The 23751-nt window shown below is 46.8% G+C and overlaps 2 long non-coding RNA genes across 2 annotated transcripts in view; one reads left to right on the forward strand and one right to left on the reverse strand.

Moving 5' to 3' along the window:
* LOC102725532 (uncharacterized) overlaps window positions 1–23497 on the reverse strand; it is a 45849-nt gene extending 22352 nt beyond the window's left edge. The window contains exons 1-5 of the long non-coding RNA XR_001756092.1: window positions 23241–23497; window positions 22597–22906; window positions 15907–16047; window positions 5716–5938; window positions 5322–5407 (exon numbers count right to left, since the gene is read on the reverse strand). This is a non-coding gene — a long non-coding RNA (uncharacterized LOC102725532). The remainder of the gene's footprint in view (window positions 1–5321; window positions 5408–5715; window positions 5939–15906; window positions 16048–22596; window positions 22907–23240) is intronic.
* On the forward strand, window positions 20944–22791 carry TTTY6B (testis expressed transcript, Y-linked 6B). Its single transcript, NR_002175.3, has 3 exons — window positions 20944–21036; window positions 21255–21392; window positions 22550–22791. It is a non-coding gene; the product is annotated as a testis expressed transcript, Y-linked 6B (long non-coding RNA).
* Window positions 23498–23751: the final 254 nt, after the last annotated feature.

Below are 23751 nucleotides of genomic sequence, written 5' to 3' on the forward strand. Positions count from 1 at the left end.
CATGTACTGGCTGTCAGCCTTCCTAGGCAGAGGAAGATGGTACAAGTAGAGCCGCCTTCATACTGAGAAAAAGTTTGCCTGGGGTAATATCCTGTGGTACTCTAAATGTCTCGACCTTAGGGCTACTTCTTATCGTCTCCGTGGTTGGGTTCCGCTGGAGTATGAGGCATTTCAAGACTGTGAAGTGGTGGGTGGAAACTGTTCTTCTGACTTCATTTCCGGAATAGGCTGTGTGCAAGAATCTGGTCCCAAGGGGATAGGAATGTAGTACCGTGACTTTCCTTGTTGGCAGCGGTAGTGGTAATTTATGATTTTAAAAGTATCAAAGCTGCCCAGTCATTTAAACATAACAGTGCTTAGAAAGAAACACTCACTCAATGGATTCCCATGAGGGTCGTTCTCCGTGCAGGGGGAAACCTTTAGCGTGCAAGTGATTAAGCCAGACTCAGGAAACCATAGGCTGACAAGGAACATGGAAGTCAGGGAAAGAAGAGGCAAACATGAAGGCCACATCCCCATTCAGCATCAGTCCTTTCCAGTCCCATTTGGCTCCAGGTATGAAAAACCCCAAATCTGGAGTTTGTCAGAATGGCCCCAATTTGCACTCCAACTTTTCCTGGCACGTTGCAGGACTCCACTTGAACACCAGGCCATTGCGTGGACTGCTTGTGCAATTAAAAGAATGTGGGGATGGAGTGGGAAACCACTTCTGTGTCATCTGCCTTCATTTTTTTTTTTTTTTTTTTGGCAGGTGAAGTTGCAGGACACCATTTACTCTTCACCAAATTGTATCTTCACTCCTATCTGACTTGTTCACAATCTATTTCACAGAAGGAAATCCCAAAATGATGGAGGAGTGTTTCCTCATGACGTGAAGCACCTGCTGGGCTGGGAACCGAATTCAAGGTACATTCAAGGGGACCTGCAGACAGGACTGCTATTGTCTCTCTGTGGGTTGGCCACAGGAAAATAAAACACTGAGAGATGCCTCTTTTTTGGTGTGGTGTGCCCCTTTTCTTTCTAAAGGAGTCAATTTTCTTGCAGGGTGAGGTGACTTGGATGCCCACATGTATCAGCTCACCTTCAAATTCACTGCGGATTAATAGTCCACAGAAATATAAAGAACATGGACCTCTGGAGCCCAAGCAGACCCACACAGAGAGGCCACCAAAAGTTTCTGAGACTCAAAAAAAAAAAAGTGCTGAAATTCGTTAGCCACATTCCTTTAAGGAGATTCCACTTACAGGCACACACATAAAAACGCGCGTGCACACACACACACACACACACTCTAAGCCACAAACACGTGAAGACATCCAACACTTGCAAAACACTTCCACAGAAACACAGCCTGGCTGCTTCTGAGGCTGCCTGGTTCTGCAGGAAGCTCCACCTGGAGGAATAAACCTAGGGAAAACAGCTCGGCTGTACCTAGAAATCACAGTGGGGTAAGTTTCAAAAAGATTCATCCTACAACCTCTAGGCAAGCCTGCGGCATTGTGCAGATCTTTTTGTATGTGTAGGGATTTCTCAGTCTATTTCTAGGACTCTCCTTGACATTTCTTCAGGCTGGCTCACTGTACCATCTCTTAGGATCATGGGACTGTTCCTTGGATCCCACAAAGAAAACAAGGGAAAGTCCAACACCAAAGCACCTCCATGGAGGTCTCCTTTTCTGTGAAGCTGCAGGAGTTGTCACTAGGCAAAGGTGGCATTCATTGTGACTCTAGCCAGAGACCACAGCTCAGGCCTTGTGCCCTGAGACAAGCACATGGATATTCATGAAGCCAACTCTGGCATCTGGATGTCAGAGCTGTCAGACTGCCTAAGCAGAGGAAAATGGTACAGGCAGAGAATGTTTGGGAGCAGGAAAAAGGCAGCCTGCAATAAGCTAAGGCGGGACCCTAAAAGTCTCCACCTGAGAACATCTTCAGGACACCTCTGTGGCTGGGTCACACAGTAAGGTGAGGTGTTTCGAGATGCTGAGGTGGTTACTGAAAAATTCTCTTCTGACTCCATTTATGAAAGAGGTTGTGTGCAAGAATCAAGTCCCCTGGGGATTGGAATATAGGCTAGTGTGTTGTTGAGGGATCTTTAGTTAATGGAATCATAGCTGAGACACCAGAGGTGGTTGTCAGTGAAAGATGACTGGGTCCTTAACCTCACTGTCTCCCTCCACACTGGGCCTCACTGCCACTCTCTGGGAAAGCCAGGAACACCAACAAAGGAAAGTCCAAAGTGGAGCTCCATTCTCACACCTCCAAAAGGCCTATCATGCATGCAGATGATGTTGAGACAATGTCTCACATGCCCTCTGTGGTGATTGCCAGCCTGGAAAAAGTATCCAGTAGTGCTTTTGAGGGACACAGTGGACCACACATGAAAGGAGTGAAAAATGAAGGCTCTCCTGAGAGAATGAGCTGATTTGTGCTGGAGGCCTAGCAACGTTCCAAGATTTCCATCAGAGGACCCAAAATCCTCCTGCAAAATTCAAACAACCTCAGCCCCCAGATGGAGACCATGACCCACCACCTGGAGCACAGCAATCCTATTCAAAGTCTCTTTTGGTCCCTGAAATCCCTGGCAGCCAAAAGATCTGTGGCAAGAGGCAGTCCTGTCCAGCAACACCCTCCATGATGAGAAAGGACGTGCAACTGAAATGAAACAGAGTCTAGTTTACCAGTTAAAAGCCAGGCACGATGGCCTGCTTCTCATCCTACAGGAATCATGCAGCCCTCTGATATAAGTGGGAGAAAAACAGTTTCCTTGTCAGTGGCTGTAATGGGAATTTATCATGTTAAAGGTATCACAGCTGCCCACTCATTAAAATGTCACAGTGTTTAGAAGGAAACACTCAAGCAATGGATTCCCATGAGGGTCGTCCTCCGCAAAATGGGAAACATTTAGTGTGAAAGACTTAGAGCCAGACCCAGGAAACCCTAGGCCCACAAGAAATAAGGAAGTCAGAAAAAGAATAGGCAAGTGTGAAGGCCACATCCTACCCATCATCAATCCATCTCACTCCCATTTGGCTGCGGGTATGAAAGCCCTCAAATCCGGAGTTTGCCAGGATATCCCCAGTTTGCAATTCAAATGTTCCCTGCCCGTTGGAGTACTTCCAACTGAACACTACGCGATGAGGCTGAAAGCACCTTCTGTGTCATCTGTCTTCATTTTTCTTGCAGGTAAAGTTTTGTCACCCCATGCACCCCTCACAAGATTGTATCTTTACCTCTGTCTGAACTTAATGCTATCCACACTCTATGTCCTAGGGTGAAATCCCAAAATGATTTTTAAAATGTGCCCCCCACCCCAGCAAGATGTGAATCACCTGTTCAGCTGGGAAGGGAATTCGAGGTTAATTCAAGAGACCCTGTGGACAGGACTGCTAATGTCTCTCCTGGGTTTGCCAAAGGACAATAAAACACTGAAAGATATCTATTTTTTGGTGTTGTGTGCTCCTCTTCTTTCTAGAATGGTGGTTTTTATGGCACACACAATGCCACACACACACAGACATCCAACATTTGCGACACTCCTACAGAAATACCCAACCCAGAAACTACTCAGGATGCATTGTTGTGCAGGAAACACCACCTGGGAAAGAGCCCCACAGCCCAAGCAGAGCCACACAGACAAGCCAACAGAAGTTGGGTAGACACAAAAAAAGGAAGCACTGAAGTGCGTTAGCAACATTCCTTTAAGCAGACTGCACATACAATCACACACACGCATATACACAAACACTCAATGCCACACACGCATTCAGACATCCAACACTTGCAACACTCCACCAGAAAGGTTTGGAGACAAAAAAAAAAATGAAGCACTGAAGTGCATTAGCCACATTATTTTAAGCAGTCTCCACTTACAGGCACACAAACACACACAAACAAATACACAATGCCACACACACAGGCAGACATCCAAGATTCACAACACTCCCACACACAAAAAAAAGTTGGATAGCTCCTGTGGCTGCGTGATTCTGCAGGAATCCCAACTTGGGAGAGAGCAACACCAAGAAACACAGGAGAACTGTACCTAGAAATTTCAGTGGGGCAAGTTTCAAAAAGACTCACTCCTACAATGCCTCGGCAGGCCTGAGGATTCCAGCATATCCTTTTGCATCCTTAGGGATTTTGCAGTGTATTCCTGGAGCTGTGGTTGATGTTTCTCCAGGCTAGGATCATGGGACAATCCCGTGGATACCACAGAGACAGGTGACTGTGCATTCTTGAGGAAGGATCAGGCACCTGGCTCTCAGAGCTGTCAGCCTGCTTAAGCAGAGGAAATTGGTACAGGCAGAGCTGGCCTGGCATGGCCAAAAATACTACCTGTGATAACCCACTGCCAGATCGAAAAAGTCTAGACCATAGGGCCATTTTGGCAGTCTCTGAGGTCAGGTTCCACTGAAGGAGGAGTCGCTTTGAGACTGAACTGGCCTTTGTAATCTGCATCTCTGCCTTCATTCCCCAGAGAGGCTGTGTGCAAGATTCCATTCCCATGGGGATTGGAATGCCCTTTGGTGAGTTTTTGATGGGTCCTTTGGTGATGGAATCATTGCTGAGACCCAAGAGGCAGGTGTGAGCAAAAGATGGCTGGCCCCTTGACCTCACTGTCTCCCATCATCCTGGACCTATCAGGGACTCTCCGGGAGAGGCAGAAACCACGACAAAAGCAAGTCCAAGATAAAGTATTGTTCCCACACCTCAAACTGGCCTCTCATGGGTGCAGATGAGGTTGTGACAGTGTATCAGAGGCATCTGTGGTGATAGCAAGCCAGAAAAGGCTATCCAGTAGTGCTGATGAGGTGCAAAGTGGACCCCCCATAAAAGCAAAGAAGAATCTAGGTTCATCTGGGAGAACAAGCTGACTTGTGTGGGAGTTCAAGCAATGTTCAAAGATTTTTGTCAGAGGACCCAAAAGCCTCCTGAAAAGTGTGAACAACATCAGCCTCCACAAGGAGACTGATGACACAAAACCTGGGGCATAGCCAGTCTACACAAAGTTCTTTATGCTTCCTGAAATTCCTGGTAGCCAAAAGATCTGTAGTGAGAGGCAGTCCAATCCGGCAAGATCCAATGAAAGATCCACTCCACAGCGAAGAAGGACGTGCAGATGAAGTGAAACAAAGCCAAGATTACCAGGCAAATGCAGAACGACTGCCTGCATATCCTCCTACAGGAATCATGCAGCCCTCTGATAAAAGTGGGAGAACAAGAATTTCCATGTTGGTGGCTGTAAGAGGAATTTAAGTTTTTACAAGTATCACAGCTGCCCAGTCATTAAAACTTGACAGTTTAGAAAGAAACACTCACGCAGTGGATTTCCATGAGGGTCTTCCTCTGTGAACTCAGAAAGTTTTAGTTTGGAAGACGTGGATTCAGACCCAGAAAACCCTAGGCTGAAGAGCAACATGAAAGGCAGAAAAAGAAGAGGTAAGTATATAGGCCACATCCTATCCAGCATCAATCCAATACACTCTCCTTTGGCTCCGGATATAAAAGCCCACATAGTGGGAGTTTACAAGGATGGCCCCAGTTTGCTCTTGAAATGTTCCCTGCTCGTTGGAGTACTGCCAACTGAACAACTAGCTATGGAGTTGGAAGCACCTTCTGGGTCATCTGTCTTCATTTACTTATCTATTTATTTTTTTGCAGAGATATTGTGGGACCCCATGAACCACTCACCAGATTGTATCCTCAACCCTACCTGAACTTATTGCTGCTCACCCTCTATGTTCCAGGATGAAATCTCAAGGCGATGTTGGAGTGCCCACTCACGACATGAAACACGTGCTCAGCTGTGACCCATATACGAGGTAAAGTCAAGCGGCTTTGCAGACAGTACTGCTATATTTTCTCCCTGGGTTCACCACAGGACAACAAAACACTGGAAGATGTCTTATTTTTGCTGTGGTGTGTTCCTCTTCTTTCTAGAAGAGTGGCATTTTTTTGCAGGGGGAGGTAACTTGAATGCCCATGTGTTTCAACTTGCTTCCCAATTCACTGCAGATTCATGATCCACAGAAAAATAAAGAACATGGAGCCCCACAGCCCAAGCAGAGCCACACTGACCACCCAACAGAATGTTGGGATACTCAAAAAAAGAAGCGCTGAAGTGCATTAGCCACATTATTTTAAGCATACTCCACTTACAGGCACATACACACACACACAATGCCACACACACACACAAACAACACTCACAACACTCCCACAGATAAACACACACTGGCAGCTCCTGAGGCTGCATGGTTCTGTGGGAATCCCCATCTTGGAGACAGCAACCCAAAAAAACATTTGGGCTGTACCTAGAAATCACTATGAGGCAAGTTTCAAAAAGACTCACCCCTACAACATCTAGGCTGTCCTGAGGAATCCTGAAGATCTTTTGCATCCTTAGGGATATTATGGTTTATTCCTGGGGCTGTGCTTGATGTCTCTTCAAGCTGGCTCACGTCTGCCCCCTCCTAGGAATGTGGGTTATGTCATGGATTCCACAGAGAAGACAGGTGAGAGATCAAAACCAACACACTTTCATGGAAATCTTCTCCACCAAGTAGCAGGGACTTGTTGCTAGGCAACGGTGGCATGCACTGTGATGCTAGCCAGAACTCAAAAATCAGGCCTGGTGCCCTAAGACTAGCACATGCACATTCGTGAGGGAGGCTCGGGTGCAGTGCTGTCAGAGCTGTCACCCTACCTAAGCAGAGGAAAATGGTAAAGGCAGAGCCGTGCTGGTGTAAAAAAAAAAACGCTGCCTGCAAACACTCACTTCAGGACCCTAAAACTGTCAAACTGGTGAACACTCCAGGCTGTCTCGGTGGTCGGGTCCTGCTGGAGGCAGAAGCATTTTGTTACTGTGAGGTGGTCACAGGAAACTGCTCTTCTGACTCCATTCAAGAAAGATCTATATGCAAGAATCCGTTCCAGCAGGGATTGGAATATAGTCTGCTGTGTTGTTGACAGCTCTTTCAGTGATAGAATAATACCTGAGACCCCAGAGGTGGGTGTCAGTGAAAGATGGCCAGGCTCTTGATCTCAATTCCTCCCTTCATCCTGAGCCTCGCAGGGCTCTCTGGGAAAAGCCAGAACCAAGACAAAGGCAAATCAAAGTTGGAGTAATGTTCTCACACTATGGCCTGGCCTCTCACAAGTGCAAATGAGTTGAGACAGTGTCTCAGAGTCCAGCTGTGGTGATGGCAAGCCTTGAAAGGGTGTCCAGTATTGCTGTTGATGGGCACTGTGGATTCCCCATGAAAGCAAACAAAAATCAAGGCTCACTACAGAACAAACTGTCTTGTGCTGGAGCCCAAGCAATGTTCAATGATTCCTGTCACAGGGCGCAAAACCATCCTGCAAAGTGCATACATCCTCAGCCCCCGCAAAGAGGCAACAGCCCAAAACCTGGAGAGCAGCCAGAATACCTGTCATTTTTTATGATCTCTGAAATCCCTGGCCACTAAATAATCTGTGGTGAAAGGCAGTCCAATCCAGCAACATCCCAATGAAAGAGCCCCTCCACAATGAGAAGGCCATGCAGATGACATTAAACAGAGGCTAGATTACCAGGAAAAGCAAGACACTGTTGCCTGTATCTCATCCTGCAGGAATCATGCAGGCCTCTGATAGAAGTGAGAGGACAAGAGTTTTCTTGTTGGTGTCTGTGACAGGAATTTATGGTTTTAAACCTATCAAAATGTCCCACTCATTAAATTGTGACAGTGTTTAGAAGAAAACACTAAACAATGGATTCCCATGATGATCATTCTCCACAAACTGGGAAACCTTTAGTATTTGTGCTCCTTTTCTGTCTAGAAGAGTGGCATTTTTTTTTTTTTTTTGCAGGCGGATGTTATTTGGATGCCAGCACATGTTGGCATGCCTCCCAGTCCACTGCAGGCTCATGATTCACAGAAAAATAAAGAACACAGAGCGATGCAGCCCAAGGTAAGCCACATAGACAGGCCATCAACGGGTTGGGAGACAAGAAAGAAAGAAAGAAAGAAAGAAAGAAAGAAAGAAAGAAAGAAAGAAAGAAAGAAAGAAAGAAAGAAAGAAAGAAAGAAAGAAAGAGAAAGAAAGAGAGACAGAGAGAGAGAGAGAGGGAGGGAGGGAGGGAGGGAGGGAGGGAGGGAAGGAAGGAAGGAAGGAAGGAAGGAAGGAAGGAAAGAAGGAAGGAAAGAAGTAAGGGAGAGAGAGAGATGCTGTAGTGTGTTAGCCACATTGTTATAAGCAGACTGCACTTACAGTCACACACACAGAAACACACACACACACCCAATGCCACACAGACACACAGACATCAAACACACAGATATTCAACACTCACAACACTCCCACAGAAACACACAGTCCAGGAGCTCCTGAGGCTGTGTGGTTCTACAAGAAGCCCCACCTGGAGAGAGCCACCCTGGTGAACACAGGGGGCCTGTACTTAAAAATCACAGTGGGGCAAGTTTCAAGAGGACTCACCCCTACAATGTCTAGGCAGGCTGGAGGAATCCTGTAGATCCTTTTGGATCCTTAGGGATTTTGTGGTTTATTCCTGGAGCTGTATTTGATGTTTCTTCAGGCTGGCTCACATATGCCCTCTCCTAAGATCATGGGACTATCTATGGATCCCACAGAGAAGACAGTTGAGAGTTCACCACTGAGACACCTCCACAGAATTCTCCTTTGCCGAGACAAAGGGACTTATTGCTAGATAATGGTGACATTTATACTGAGGCAAGCCAGAGTTCACAATGAGGCCTAGTGCCCTGAGGCTAGTGCATGCACATTCATGAGGCAAGCTGGGGAGCATGGCTGTCAGAGCTATCAGCCTGCCTAAGTAGACAATAATGCTACAGGCAGAGTTGGCCTGGTATCAGGAAAAAGGCTGCCTGTGAAAAAGGCTGCCTGTGAAAAAGACTGCAAGGTCCTAAAACTCCCAACCTCAGGGACCCTCCAGGCCATCGTGGTGGTCGACTTCCACTGGAGGAGGAGGCATTTTGTGACTGTGAGATAGTTTCTAGAAACTGCTCTTCAGATTTCATTCTGGAAAAAGGCTGTGTGCAAGAATTGAGTACCATGGGGATTAAAATATAGACTGGTGTGTTGTTGAGGGTTCTTTGTGTGATAGAATCATACCTGAGACCCCAGAAGTGGATATCATGAAAAGATGGCCAGACTCTTGACCTCACTGCCTTCCTTCAACTTTGACCTCACAGGGGCTCTCTAGGAAAGGCAGAAACTACAACAAAGGCAAGTCAGAGTTGGATCACTGTTCTCCCACCTTGTACTGCCCTCTCTTGGGTGCAGATGAGGTTGAAACAGTGTCTCAGAGGCCGTTTGTTGGGATGGCCAGCCTGAAAATGGTGTCCAGTAGTGCTGTTAAGGGGCAATGTGGATTCCCCATGAAAACGAAGAAAACCCAAGGCTTGCCTGAGAGAATGAGCTACCTTGTGCTGGAGTCTATGCAATGTTCAGTGAGTCCTGTCAAAGAACCCAAAAGCATCCTGCATAGTGCAAACATTCTGAGCCCCCACAACCAATGACATGGAATGCAGCCAGACTACTTGATGACCCTTTTGCTCTCTGAAATCCCTGGCAGCTAAATAATCTGTAGCTAGAGGCAGTCCCATCCAGCAACAGCCCAATGAAAAAGACCCTTCACAGTGAGAATGCCATGCAGATGAAATGAAATAGAGGCTAGATTACCAGGAAAAATTGACACATCTGTGTGCTTTTCATCCTGCAAGAATCATGCAGCCCCCTGGTAGATATGGGAGAACAAAAGTTTTCTTGTTGGTGGCAGTAATGGGAATTTACAGTTTTAACAATGTCAAAGCTTCCCAGTCATTAAAACCTGACAGTGGTTAGAAGAAAACACCCATGCAATGGATTCTCATGAGGATCTTTCTCCGTGAAATGGAAAACATTTGTTGTAGAAGTCACTGAGCCAGACCCAGAAAACCCTAATCCAATGAAGAACACGGATGTCAATATAGGAAGAGGCAAGTGTAAAGGCCACATCACAGCCAGCATCAATCCATTCCACTCCCATTTGTCTCTGAATATGAAAACTCTCAAATCGTGAGTTTGCTTGGATTGCTCCAATTTCTACTCCAAATGTTCCTTGCATGTTGGAGTACTCCCACCTGAACACCGGGTCATGGTGTGGACTGCTTTTGTAATTAAAGGAATGCAGGGATGGAGTTGGAAGCACCTTCTGTGTCATCTGTCTTCATTTTTTTTTCAGGTGAAGTTGTGGGACCCCACCCATCCCTCACCAGATTGTATCCTCACCCCTATCTGACCATACTGCTCCTCACACTCTATTTCACAGGATGAAATCCCAAGTCAATGTAAGAGTGCCCCTCATGACAGGAAGCATCTGCTCAGCTGGGAACTGAATTCAAGGTAAATTTAAGGGGCCTTGTTTACAGGACTGCTAGTGTCTCTCCCTGAGGTGGTTGCAGGACTATAAAATACTGGGATATGTCTGTTTTTTTGTGTGTGTATGGTGTGCTCCTCTTCTGTCTAGAAGAGTGGCTTTTTTGCAGGGGGTGGTGACTTGGAGGTTGGTGCATTTTGGCGTGCCTCCCAGTTCACTGATGGGTCATGATCCACATGAAAATAAACAACATGGAGCTCTGCAGCCCATGTAAACCACACAGACCAAAAATAGGTCATGAGACTCAAAAAAAAAAAAAAAAAAAAAAGGCTGAAGTGCATTAGCACATTCCTTTAAGCAGACTCCACTTACAGGCACACACAGACAATGTCACACTCACATGCAGACATCCAACACTCACAACATTTCCAAGAAATGCACAGTTTGGCAGCTCCTGAGGCTGCATGATTCTGCAGGAAGCTTCACCTGAGACACAGCAACCCTGGCGAAAACAGGCAGATTTTACCTAGAAATCACAGTGCAGCAAGTTTCAAAATGACTCACCCCTACAACGTCTAGGCAGGGCTGAGGAGTCCTGCAGATCTTTTTGGATCATTAGAAATTTTGCGGTTTATTCCCAGAACTGTACTTGATGTATCTTCAAAATGCCTTATGTCTGCCCTATCCTAAGATCATGGGACTATTGCATTGATCCCACAGAGAAGAAAGGCAAGAGTCCACCACCGATGCACGTCCATGGAGGTCTCCTTTTCTGCCAAGATACAGGGTCATGTCGCTTTGCAATGGTGATGTTCATTGTGAAGCTAGCCAGAACTCACAGTCAGGACTGGTGCCTTGAGACTAGCCAATGTGCATTCACTGGGCAGGTTCGAGTGTGCAGCTGTTAGAGCTGTTACCCTGCCTAGGCTCAGGGTAATGGTACAAAAAGAACTGGCCCGGTATCTCAAAAAATGCTGCCTGAGAAAACCCACAGTGGGACCCTAAAAGTCTCAAACTCAGTGCCTATCCAGGCACTCTCCTCTTGCTGGAGGAAGAGGCCATTCAAGACTGTGAGGTGGCTCTGGAAACTGGTCTTCTGACTCAATTTCTGAAAGACGGTGTGTGCAAGAATCAGGTCCCATAGGGATTGTAATATAGTCTGGAGTGTTTTTGAGGGTACTTTAGATGATAGAATCATACCTGAGACCCTAGAGGTAAGTGTCAGTGAAAGATGGCTGGGCTCTTGATCTCACTGCCTCCCTCATCCTGGGTTTTGAAGGACCTCTCTAGGAAAGGCAGGAACCAATAAAAAGGCAATTCCAAGGTGAAGCAGTGTTCTCACACCTCATACTGTCCTCTCTTGGTGCAGATGAGGTTGAGACTGTGTCTCAGAGACCCTCTGTGGAGACGCAAGTGTGAAATGGGTGTTTCAGTGCTGTTGACAAGGAAGAGTGGATGCCCCATGAAAGCCTTGAAAAATCAAGGCTCACTTGAGAGAATGAGCTGCTTTATGCTGGAACCCAAGCAATGTTCACTGAATCCTGTCAGAGGATCCACAGGCCTCCTGCAAAGTGCAAACATCCTTAACCCCCACAAAGAGACAATGACCAAGTATCTATAATGCAGCCAGCCTACCCAAAGTCCATTTGGCCCTCTGAAATCCCTAGCATCTAAATAACCTGTGGTGAGAGTCAGTCCCATCCAGCAGCAGCCCAATGATAGAGCCCTTCCAGAATGAGAAGGCCATGAAGATGAAAGAAATAAGAGGCTAGATTAATAGGCAAAAGCCAGGCATGGCTTCCAGCTTCTCATCCTACAGGAATCATGCAGCTGTGCAATGGAAGTGAGAGAACTAAAATTTCTTTTTGGAGGCTGTAACAGGAATTTATGCTTTTAACAGTATCAATGAGATCCATTCATTAAAATGTGACAGAGTTTAGAAGGAAACACTCACACAATGGATTCCCATGAGGGCAGATTTTCATGAACTGGGAAATGTTTAGTGTGGAATTCATTGAGCCAAACTCAGGAAACCCTAGACCGATGAGAAAAATGGAAGTCAGAAACAAAGAGGAAAGTGTGGAGGCCACATCCCACACAGCGTCATTCCGTTGCACTCCCGTTTGACTCTGGGTATGAAAGCCATCAAATCAGGAGTTAGCCAGGATGGACCCAATTTGCACACCAAATGTTTTTGGCGTGTTGGAGTACTCCCACCTCAACATCGGGCCATTGTATGGACTGCTTGTGCAATTAAAGGAATGTGCGAATGGTGTTGGAAGCACCTTCTGTGTCATCTGTCTTTCTCAGTGTTGCAGGTGAAGTTGTAGGACCCAATCCATCTCTCACCAGATTGTATCCTCACCCCATCTGACTGTATTGCTTCTTACACTGTATGTCCCAGGATGAAATCCTAAGATGATGGAGGAGGGTCCCCTCATGATGTAAAGTACCTGCTCAGATAGGAATCTAATTTGAGGTAAATTCCAGGGGTCCAGTGGACAGGATTGCTAGTGTCTCTCTCTGAGATGGCTGCAGGACAATAAAATACAGGAAGATGTCTGTTTTTTGGTGGGGTGTGTTCCTCTTCTTTCTAGAAGAGTGGCTTTTCTTTTGCAGGGGGAGTTGATTTGGATGCCGGCAGGTCTTGGCATGCCTCCCAATTCACAGTGGATTCATGATCCACAGAAAAATCAAGAACATGAGGTCCCGCAGCCCAAGCAAAGCCATATAGGGTGCCCACAAAAGGGTTACAGTCTAAAAAAAAAAAAAAAAAAAAAAAAAAAGAAGCACTGACGTGTGTTAGCCACATTCTTTTAAGCATTTAAGCAGACTCCACTAACGGGCACACACAAATACAAAACACACACAGTGCCACACACGAACACAGACATCCAACAGTCACAACAATCCCACAGAAAGAAATATCCTGGCAGCACCTGAAGCTGTGTGATTCTGCAGGATGTCCCACCTGGGAGAGAGCAACCCCAGTGAACACAGGCGGGATGTACCTAGATATCATAGTGGGGCAAGTTTCAAGAAGATTCACCCCTACAATGTCTAGCAGGCCTGAGGAATTCTGCAGATCCTTTTGGATCTTAGGGATTTTGTGGTTTATTCCTGGGGCTGAGCTTGACATTTCTTCAGGCTGGCTGAAGTCTGCCCTCTCCTAGGATCATGGGACTATGCCATGTATCTCACAGAGAAGAGAGGTGAGAGTTCAACACTGATGCACCTCCACAAAGGTCTCTTTCTCTGCCAAGCCACAGGGACTTCTCACTATGCAGCAGCCACAGTCATTGTGATGCTAGCAAGGTCTCACAATCAGTCCTGGTGCCCTGAGACTAGTGTATGTGCATTCGTGAAGCAGGCTCAGGTGCCTATTTGTCACAGCAGTCAGTCTGCTTAAGGAGAGAAAAATAATACAGGCAGAGCCAGCCTGGTATCGGAAAAAATATGACTGCAAAAACCCACTGCGGGACCCTAAAAGTCTCTACATCAGAGCCCCTTCAGGCTGTCTCTGTGGTCAGTTTTTCATCGGAGGAGGAGGCATTTTGAGACTGGGAGATAGTCGCTGCAAACTGCTTCTCTGACTGCATTCCCAAATAAGAATGTGTGTGTGCAAGAATCAGGTCACATGGGGATTGCAGTATAGTCTGGTGTGTTGTCAAGGATTATTTTGCTGACACAACCCCAGAGGCTTGTGTCAGCAAAAGATGGCTGAGATCTTGATCTCACTGCCTCCCTTCATCTTGGGCCTAACAGGGGCTCTCTGGGAAAGGCAGTTACAATGACAAAGGCAACTACAAGGTGAAGCAGTGTTCTCACACCTCAGACTGGCCTCCAACGGGCACAGACGAGGTTGAGACAGTGTCTCTGAGGCCATCTGTGGTGATGGCAAACCTAAAAAAGGTGAATATTAGTGCCGTTGAGATTCACTGTGAATTACCCATGAAAGCAAAGAAAAATCAAGACATGTCTGACAGAATGCGATGCTTTGTGCTGGAGTCCAAGCAATGTTCAGTGATTCTTATCAGAGGACCTAAAAGCCCCCTGCAAAGTGCAAACAACCTTAGCCCCCCAATAAGGCAACGACCCATAACCTGGATGGCAGGAGCCTGCCCGAAGTCCCTTTTGCCCTCTAAAATCTCTGGCAGCTAAATAATCTGTGGCAAAAGGCAGTCACATCCAGCAACAGCCCAGTGAAAGTGCCCCTCCACAATGAAAAGGCCATCCAGATGAAATGAAACAGAGGCTAGATTACCAGGCAAAGGCCAGACAAGGCTGTTCATCCTACAGGTATTATGCAGCCATTTGAAAGAAGTGGGAGAAAAAGAGTTTATTTTGGCAGCAGTAATGGGAATTTTCAGTTTTAAAATATCAAAGCTACCCAGTCATTAAAAGGTGACAGTGTTTAGAAGGAAACACTCTGTGAACTGGGAAAGCTTTAGTGTGGAAGTGGTTGAGCCAGACACAGGAAACTCTAGGCAGGTGAGGAATATAGAAGTCAGAAGAAGAAGAGGAAAATGTGGAGGCCACATCCCACCCAGCATCAATCCATTCCACTCTTATTGATCTCTGAATATGAAAGCCCACAAATCGGCAGTTTGCCAGGATGGCCCCAATTTGCCCTCCAAATGTCCATTGTATGTTGCAGTATTCCCACCTTAACACCATGCCATTGTGTGGACTGCTTCTGCAATTAAGGGAATGTGTGGATGGAGTTGGAAACACTTTCTGTGTCATCTGACTTTATTTTTATTGCAGGTGAAGTTACAGGGCCCCAACCACCTTTCACTAGATTGTATCTTCACCTGTATCTGACCTTACTGCTGCTCACACTCTATGTCCCAGGATAAAATCCTAGCATGGTGGAGGAGTGTCCCCTCATGATGTGAAGCACCTGCTAGGCTTGGAACTGAATTCAAGGTGAGTTCAAGTGGCCCTCTGCACAGGACTGCTAGTGTCTCCCCCTGTTTAGCTGCAGGACAATGAAACACCAAAAAATGTCTGTTTGTGGGGGAGTTTTTTGTTTGTTTGTTTTTTTGATGTGGTGTGCTCATCTTCTTTCTAGAAGTGTGGGTTTTTCTGCAGGGGGAGGTGATTTGGACACCAGTGGGACTCAGCCCACCTCCCAATTCATGTCGGATTCATAATTCACAGAAAAATAAAGAACATGAAGCTTTGCAGCCCAGGAAGAGCCACACAGACAGGCCACCAAAAGGTTGGAAGACTCAAAATAACAATAATAATAATAACACTGAAGTATGTTAGCCACATTGCTTTAAGAAGACTCCCTTTACAGGCACACATACACACACAAACACACACAGAGAAACACACAATGCTACACACACACAGAGACATCCAACACTCACAACACTGTCACAAAAACACACAGCCCAGCAGCTCCTGAGGCTGCTTGGTTCTGAAGGTAACCCCACCTGGGAGAGAGCAACCCTGGGGGAACACAGGCAGGCTGTACCTAGAAATCACAATAGGGCAAGTTTCAAAAAGACTCACCTCTACAATGTCTAGACACATCTGAAAAATGTTGCAGATGTTTCTGGATCCTGAGAAATATTGTGGTTTATTCCTGGGCCTCTTCTTGATGCTACTACAGGCTGGCTTACATCTGCCCTCTCCTAGGCTCATGGGACAATCCTGTGGATCACACATAGAAGGCAGGTGAGAATTCATGACTGATACACCTCCACGGACATCTCCTTCTTTGCCAAGATGCAGAAATTGTCACTAGGCAATGGTGAAATTCATTGTGGCACTAGTTAGAGCTCACAGTCAGGCCTGGTGCCTCAAGACTACAGCATGCGCATTTTCAGGCCCTGCTGTTAGAGCTGTCAGCCTGCCTAAGCAGAGGAAAATGATACATGCAGAGCCAGAAAGTTATCCAGGAAAATGCCACCTGTGATAACCCACTCTGGGACCCTAAAAGTCTCATCCTTAGTGCCCCTTTGGCCATCTTTGATGCTGGGTCCCGCAGGATGAGAATGCATTTCTATTTTTAGACTGTGAGTTTGTCGTGAAAAACTGCTCTTGTGACTCCATTCCCGAAAGAGGCTGTGTGCAAGAATTGGGTACCATGGGGATTGGAATGTAGTCTGGTGCATTGTTTAGGGGTCTTTGGGTGATAGAATCCTACCTGATACCCCAGAGATGGGTGTCAATTAAAAATGACCAGGGCCTTAACCTCAGTGCCTCCCTTCATTCTTGGCCTCATAGGATCTCTCTCGGGTAAGCGGGAACCACACCTCAAACTGGCCTCTTACAGGGGCAGATGAGGTTGAGACAGTGTCTCAGAGGCTGTCTTTGGTGATTGTAACCCTGAAAAGGGTGTCCAGTAGTGCTAGTGACTGGCATGAAAGCAAAAAAATCAAAGCTCGTATGAGAGAAAGAGCTGCCTTGGGCTGGAGTCCAAGCAATGTTCAAAGATTCCTGTCAGAGGGCCCTGAAACCTCCTGCAAAGTGCAAACAACCTCATCCCACAAAATGAGACCAAGACACAGAACCTGGGATGCGGCCAGCCTGCCTGAAGTCCCTTGTGCTCCTTGATATCCCTGTCAGCCAATAAATTTGTGGTGAGAAGTAGCCCCATCCACCAACAGCCCTATAAAAGACCCCCTACACAATGAGAAAGGATGTGCAGATAAAATGAAACAGAGCCGGTATTACCAGGTGAAATACAGACACGGCTGCCTGCTTAACCTTTCGATAAAACCTAGAGAACAAGAGTTTCCTTGTTGGCAGCAGTAACAGGAAGTTACTATTTTAAAATTATCACAGCTGCCCAGTCATTGAAATGTGACAGTGTTTAGAAGGAAACACTCACTCAATGTATTCCCCTGAGGGTCAACTTCCATGAACTGGGAAATGTTTAGCATGGAAGACATTGAGCCATACCCAAGAATCCATAGGATGATGAGGCACACGTATGTCAGGATATGAAAAGGCAAGTGTGGAGGCCACATCCCACCTTGTATCAATCAATCTCACTGCCATTTTGTTCTGCCTATGAAAGCCCTCAAATCGATAGTTGGCCAGGGTGGCCGCAGTTTGTACTCCAAATATTCCCTGCACATTGGAGTACTCCCAACTAAACACTGGGCCAAGTTGTGGACTGCTTGTGCAATTAAGGAAATGTGGGAATGCTGTTTGAAGCACGTTTTGTGTCATCTGTCTTTATACTTTTGCAGGTGAAGGTGTGGGACCCCATCCACCCCTCATCAGATTGTATCCTCACGCTATCTGACCTTATTGCTACTCACACTGTATGTCCCAGGATGAAATCTCAAGGTGATGGAGGAGTGAATCCTGATGATGGGAAGTATCTGCTCGGCTATGAACCAAAATTGAGGTAAATTCGTGGGGCCCTGTGGGCAGGACTGCTAGTGTTTCTCCCTGGGATGGCCACAGAAAAATGACACACTGAAGGATTTCTGTTCTTGGCTGTGGTGTGCTGCTCATCTTTCTAGAGGGTGGCTTTGTTTTTTTCCAGCGGTTGGTTATGAGGACCCCGCGTGTCACAGCCAGCCTTGCAATTCACCGCAGGTTCATAATTCACAGAAAAATAAAGAACAGGGAGGCCTCCAGACCAAGCAGAGCCACACAGATGGGCAAACAAAATGTTGGAAGTCTCAAATAAAAGAAGCTCTGCAGTGTGTTATCCACATCCCTTTAAGCAGATTCCACTAACAGGTGCATGCGTGTGTGCACGCACGCACACACACACAAAAACACACAAAGCCAAAAAGCCACACCACACCCAGACATCCAACCCTTTTAACACTCCCTCAGAAACAGAGCCTGGCAGCTTCTGAGGCTGTGTGTTTCTGCAGAAATCCCCACCTGGGAGAGAGAAACCCCGGCAAACACAGTGGGATCTACCTAGAAATCACAGTTGGGTGAGTTTCAAAAAGACTCAACCCTACATCTAGGCAGGCCTGAGAAATCCTGCAGATGCTTTTGTAACCTTAGGGACTTTGCAGTTTATTCCTTGGGCTCTGCTTGAAGTTTCTTCACGCTGGCTCACGTCTGCCCTCTCCTAGGAACATGGATCTATCCTGTGGATCCCCCAGAGAAGACAAGCAAGAGTCCACCACAAGGCACCTCTATGGAGGTCTCCTTCTTGGCCAAGCAGCTGGGACTTGTAGCTGTGTAAGGGTGACATTCATTGTGATGCTAGCTAGAGCTCACAATCAGGCCTGGTGCCTGGAGACTAGCTCATGCGCATTTGAGGGCATGCTCAGTGGCCTGGCTTTCACAGCTGTCAGCCTGTGGAAGCAGAAGAAAATGGTACAGGTAGAGCCAGCTGGTAATGGGAAATAGGCTGCCTGTGATAACACACTGCGGGACCCTACAAGGCTCGAAATTAGGGTCACTTCGGGCTGTCTCTGTGTTCAGTTCCCACAGGAGTAGGAGGCATTTAGAGACTGTGAGGTGGTCGCTAAAAACTGCTCTTCTGACTCCCTTTCCGAAAGAGGCTGTGTGCAAGAATCAGGTCTTATGGGGATTGGAATGTAGTCTGGTGAGTTGAGGAGGGGTGTTTGGGTGATGGAATTATACCTGAGACCCTAGAATTGGGTGTCTATGAATGATGGTTGGGCCCTTAACCTCACTGTCTCCCATCATTCTGGACCTCGCAGGGTCTCTCTGTGAAGCACAGGAACCAAGACAAAGGCAAGTCCAAAATGGAGCAGTGTTCTCAAACCTCAAACTGGCCTCTCATGGGTACAGATAAGGTTGAGACAGTATCTCAGAGGCCATCTGTGGCCATGGCAAGCCAGAAAAGGGTGTCCAGTAGTGCTGTTGAGGGGCACTGTGGACTTCCCAGGAAAGCAAAGAAAAATCAAGGTGTGTGTGTGAGAAAAAGATGGCTTGTGCTGGAATCTAAGCAATATTCAAAAATTCCTGTCAGAGAACTCAAAAGCCTCCTTCAAAGTGCAAACAACCCATAACGAGACAGCGACCCACAACCTGGAGAGGCACTAAACCTACCCAGAGTCCATTTTGCTCACTGAAATCCCTGGCAGCCCATAGATCTGTTGTAAGAGGCAGCCCCATCCAGCAACAGCCCAATGAAAGACCACCTCCACAATGAGAAAGGATGTGCAGATGCAATGAAACACAGTGTAGATTACCAGAAAAAAGCCAAACATCGCTGCCTGCTTCTCTTCCTACAGGAATCATGCAGCACTCCAATAAAATTTGGAGAGCAAGAGTTTCCTTGTTGGCAGCTGTAAAAGGAGTTTATGGTTTTAAAATTATCACAGCTGCCCAGTCATTAAAACGTGACAGTGTTTAGAAGGAAACACTGGAAAACCTTTACCGTTGAGCCATCTGGGAAGATGTTGAGCCAGATCCAGGAAACCCCAGGCTGACAAGGAATATGGAAGACATGAAAAGAAGAGGCAAGTGTGGAGGTCACATCCCACGTTGTATCTATAGGTCTCACTTTCATTTGGAGCAGAGTATGAAAGCCCTCAAATTGGGAGTTTGCCAGGATGGCCCGGTTTGCATTTCAAATGTTCTCTGCACATTGGAGTACTCCCACCTGAACATCAGGCCATAGTGTGGACTACTTGCGTAATTAAGGAAATTTGAGAATGCAGTTGGAATCACTTTCTCTGTCATCTGTCTTCACATTTTTTGCAATTGGAAGTGTGGGACCCCACCCACTTCTCACCAGATTGCATCCTTACCCCTTCTGACCTTATTGCTGTTCATGTTCTCTTTCCCTAAATGAAATCCCAAGATGATCTAGGAGTGCCTTCTCAGGATCTGAAGAAACTGCTCAGTTATGAACTGAATTCAAGGTAAATTCAAGGGCCCTGAGGACATGAATGCTAGTGTTTCTTCCTGGGATGACCACTGGACAATGGAATACTGAAGGATGTCTGTTATTGCGTGTGTTGTGCTCCTTTTCTTTCTAGAAGAGCAGCTTTTTTTGGCAGGCAGAGGTGATGTGGACCTTGGTGTCTCACAGCCAGCCTCCCAGTACACTTTGGATTCATGATCCAGAGAAAATTAAAAAACACAGAGCCCTGCAGCTTAAGCAGAGCCACACAGGCATGTGACCCAAAGGTTGGGAGACTTAAAAAAAAAAATAGTGCTGCAGCGCATTAGCCACATTCCTTTAAGCAGACTTCACTTACAGGTGCGCACACACACACACACACACACACACACACACACACACACATAAACACACAGTGCTAAAAAAAGCCACACCCATACACAGACATCAAAGACTCACAATAATTTTACAGAAACACACCACCCAGCAGTTTCTGAGGCTGTATGGTTCTGCAGGAAGACTTACGTGGGAGACAGCAACTCTGGGGAACACAAGCGGGGTGCACCTAGAAATCATAGCAGTGTCAGTTTCATAAAGATTCACCTCTACATGTGTAGGCAGGCCTGAGGCATCCTGCAGATCCTTTTGGAACCTTACAGATTTTGCGGTTTATTCCTGGGGCTTGGCTTGACATATCTTCTGGCTAGCTCACGTCTGTTCTCTCCTAGGATCATGAGACTATCCTGTGTATCCCACAAAGAAGACAGGCAAGATTCCTTGGCTGATGCACCTCCACAGAGGTCTCCTTCTCAGCCAAGCCTCAGGGAATTGTGGCATTCATGGTGAGGCTAGCCAGAGCTCACAGCTCAGGCCTGGTGCCCTGAGACTAGCACATGTGCATTCACCAGTGGGCTTGGCACTCGGCAGTCAGAGCTGTCAGCCAGCCTAAGCCGAGGAAAATGGTACAGGCAAGAGTGGGCCTGGTACTGGGAAAAAAAAATGCTGTATGCAATAACCCACTGTGGAACCCTAAAAGTCTCATACTTGGGGCCCCTTTCAGCTGTACCCGTGATCTGTTCCCACTGGAGGAGGAGATGTCTAGACTGTGATGGGGTCTCTGAGAACTGCTCTTCTGACTTTATTCCTGAAAGAGGCTGTGTGCAAGAATTGAGTCCCAGGGGGACTGGAATGTTGTCTGGTGAGTTGTGGAGGGTTCTTTGGGTGATAGAATCATACCTGTGACTCCAGAGGTGGGTGACAGTGAAATATGGCCAGGTTCTTAACCTCACTGCCTCCATTCATCCTGAGTCTTGCAGGGGCTCTTGGTGAAATGGAGGAACCATGACAAAGGCAAGTCCAAGGTGGAGCAGTATTCTCACAGCTCTAAGTGGACTCCCACAGGTGCAGGTGAGGATGAGACAGTGTCTCAGAGGACATCTGTGACAATTGCAATCCTGAAATGTTTGTCAGGTAGTGCTATTGAAGGGCACTGTGGACCCCCCATGAAAGCAAAGGAAAATCAAGGCTCACATGAGAGAATGAGCTGCCATGTGCTGTAGTCCAAGCCACGTTTAGAGATTTCTGTCACAGGACCCAAAAGCCTCTTGAAAAGTGCAAACAATCTCAGCCCCCACAAGTAAACCATGACCCCAAACCTAAAGTGCAGTCAGCCTACCCAAAGTCCCTTTTGCTCTCTGAAATCCCTGGAAGCCAATAATTCTGTGGTGAGAGGTAGCCTCATCCAACAACAGCCCGATGAAAGAGCCCTCCACAATGAAACAAGACAAGCAGATGAAATGAAACAGAGCCTAAATTCCCAGGCAAAAGCCAGGTACAGCTGCCTGCTTCTCCTACAGGTATCAAGCAGCCCTCTGATAAAAGCTGGATAACAAGAGTTTCTTTGTTGGCTACTGTTACAGAAATTTAGTTTTAAAACTATCGAAACTGCCTAGTCATTAAAATCTGACAGTGTTTAAAAGAAAACACTCATGAAATGGATTACTTTGAGGGTCATCTTCCGTGAAGTGGTAAATGGTTAACGTGGAAGATGTGGAGCCAGGCCCAGGAGAACTTAGGCCGATGAGGTACATGGAAGTCAGGAAAAAAGAGACAAGTGTGGTGGCCACATCAAACCTCACGTGAAATGATCTCACTTCCATTTAGCTCCTGGTATGATAGTCCTCAAATAGGGAGTTTGCCAGGATGGCTCCAGTTTGCACTCCAAACATTCCCTGCACATTGTGGTGCTCTCAACTGTACACCAGGCCATGGTATGGACTTGCTTGTGTAATTAAGGAAATGTGGGGATACAGTTGGAAGCACATTCTGTGACATCTATCTTCACATTTTTTGCAGGTGAATGTGTGGGACCGCATCCACCCCTCACCAGCTTGTATCCTCACCTTTATCTGATGTTATGGCTGCTCAAAGTATCTGTCCCAAAATGAAATTCCAAGACAATGAAGGAGTGACGTGAAGGTCCTGCTCAGCTAGGAACTGAATATGAAGTAAATTCAAGGGGCCCTGAGGACTGGACTGCTAGTGTTTCTCCATGGGATGTACACTGGAGAATAAAGCAGTGAAATATTTCTGTTCCTGGGTTTGATGTGCTCCTCTTCTTTCTAGAAGAGTGGCTTTTTTTTTTCCTCAGGGGGAGGTTATTTGGACCTGGCAGGTCTCAGCCAGCCTCTCAATTTACAGCGGATTCATGATCTGCAGAAAAATAAAGAACATGGAACCCAGCAGCCCAAGAAAAGCCACAAAGACAGACCACCAAAAGGCTGGGAGACTCAAAAACAAGAAAGCGCTGCAGTGTGTTAGCCACATTTTTTTAAGCAGATTCCACTTACAGGCATGCACACAAACAGGGAAACACACACACAAATGCAGACATCCAACACTCACAACACTCCCACAGAAACACACTCCTGGCAGCTTCTGAAGCTGTGTGGTTCTGCAGGAAGCCCCATGTGGGAGAGAGCAATCCCGGGGAACACAGGCATGCTGTATGTAGAAATCACAGTGGGACCAATTTCAAAATACTCACCCCTACAACATCTAGGCAGGCCTGAAGCATCCTGCAGATCCTTTAGGATTGTTAGGGAATTCACGGATTATTCCTGCGGCTCTGCTTGAGGCTTCTTAATGCTGGCTTACATCTGCCCTCTCACCCTCTCCTAGGATCATGGGACTCTCCCGAGGATTCCACAGAGAAGAGACCACAGTCCACCATGATGCATCTTCACGGAGGTCTCCTTCTCTGCCAAGCCTCAGGGACTTTTCACTAGGCAAAGAGTTATTGATTGTGATGCAAGCCAAAGATCACAGCTCAGGGGTGGTGCCCTGAGGCTAGCAGATGCACATTCGCAAGGCAGGCCCAGGGGCTCAGCTGTCAGAGCAGCCATTCTGCCTAAGCAAAGGAAAATGGTATAGGCAGAGCCGGCCTCATATCAGGAGAAAGGCTGCCTGTGATAACCAACTGGGGGACCCTAAATAAGTCAACCTTAGGACCCCTTCCATCCATCTCCTTGGTCGGGTCCCACTGGAGGAAGAGGTGT

Source organism: Homo sapiens, chromosome Y (assembly GCF_000001405.40).
Source record: "Homo sapiens chromosome Y, GRCh38.p14 Primary Assembly".
NCBI classification, from domain to species: Eukaryota; Metazoa; Chordata; class Mammalia; order Primates; family Hominidae; genus Homo; species Homo sapiens.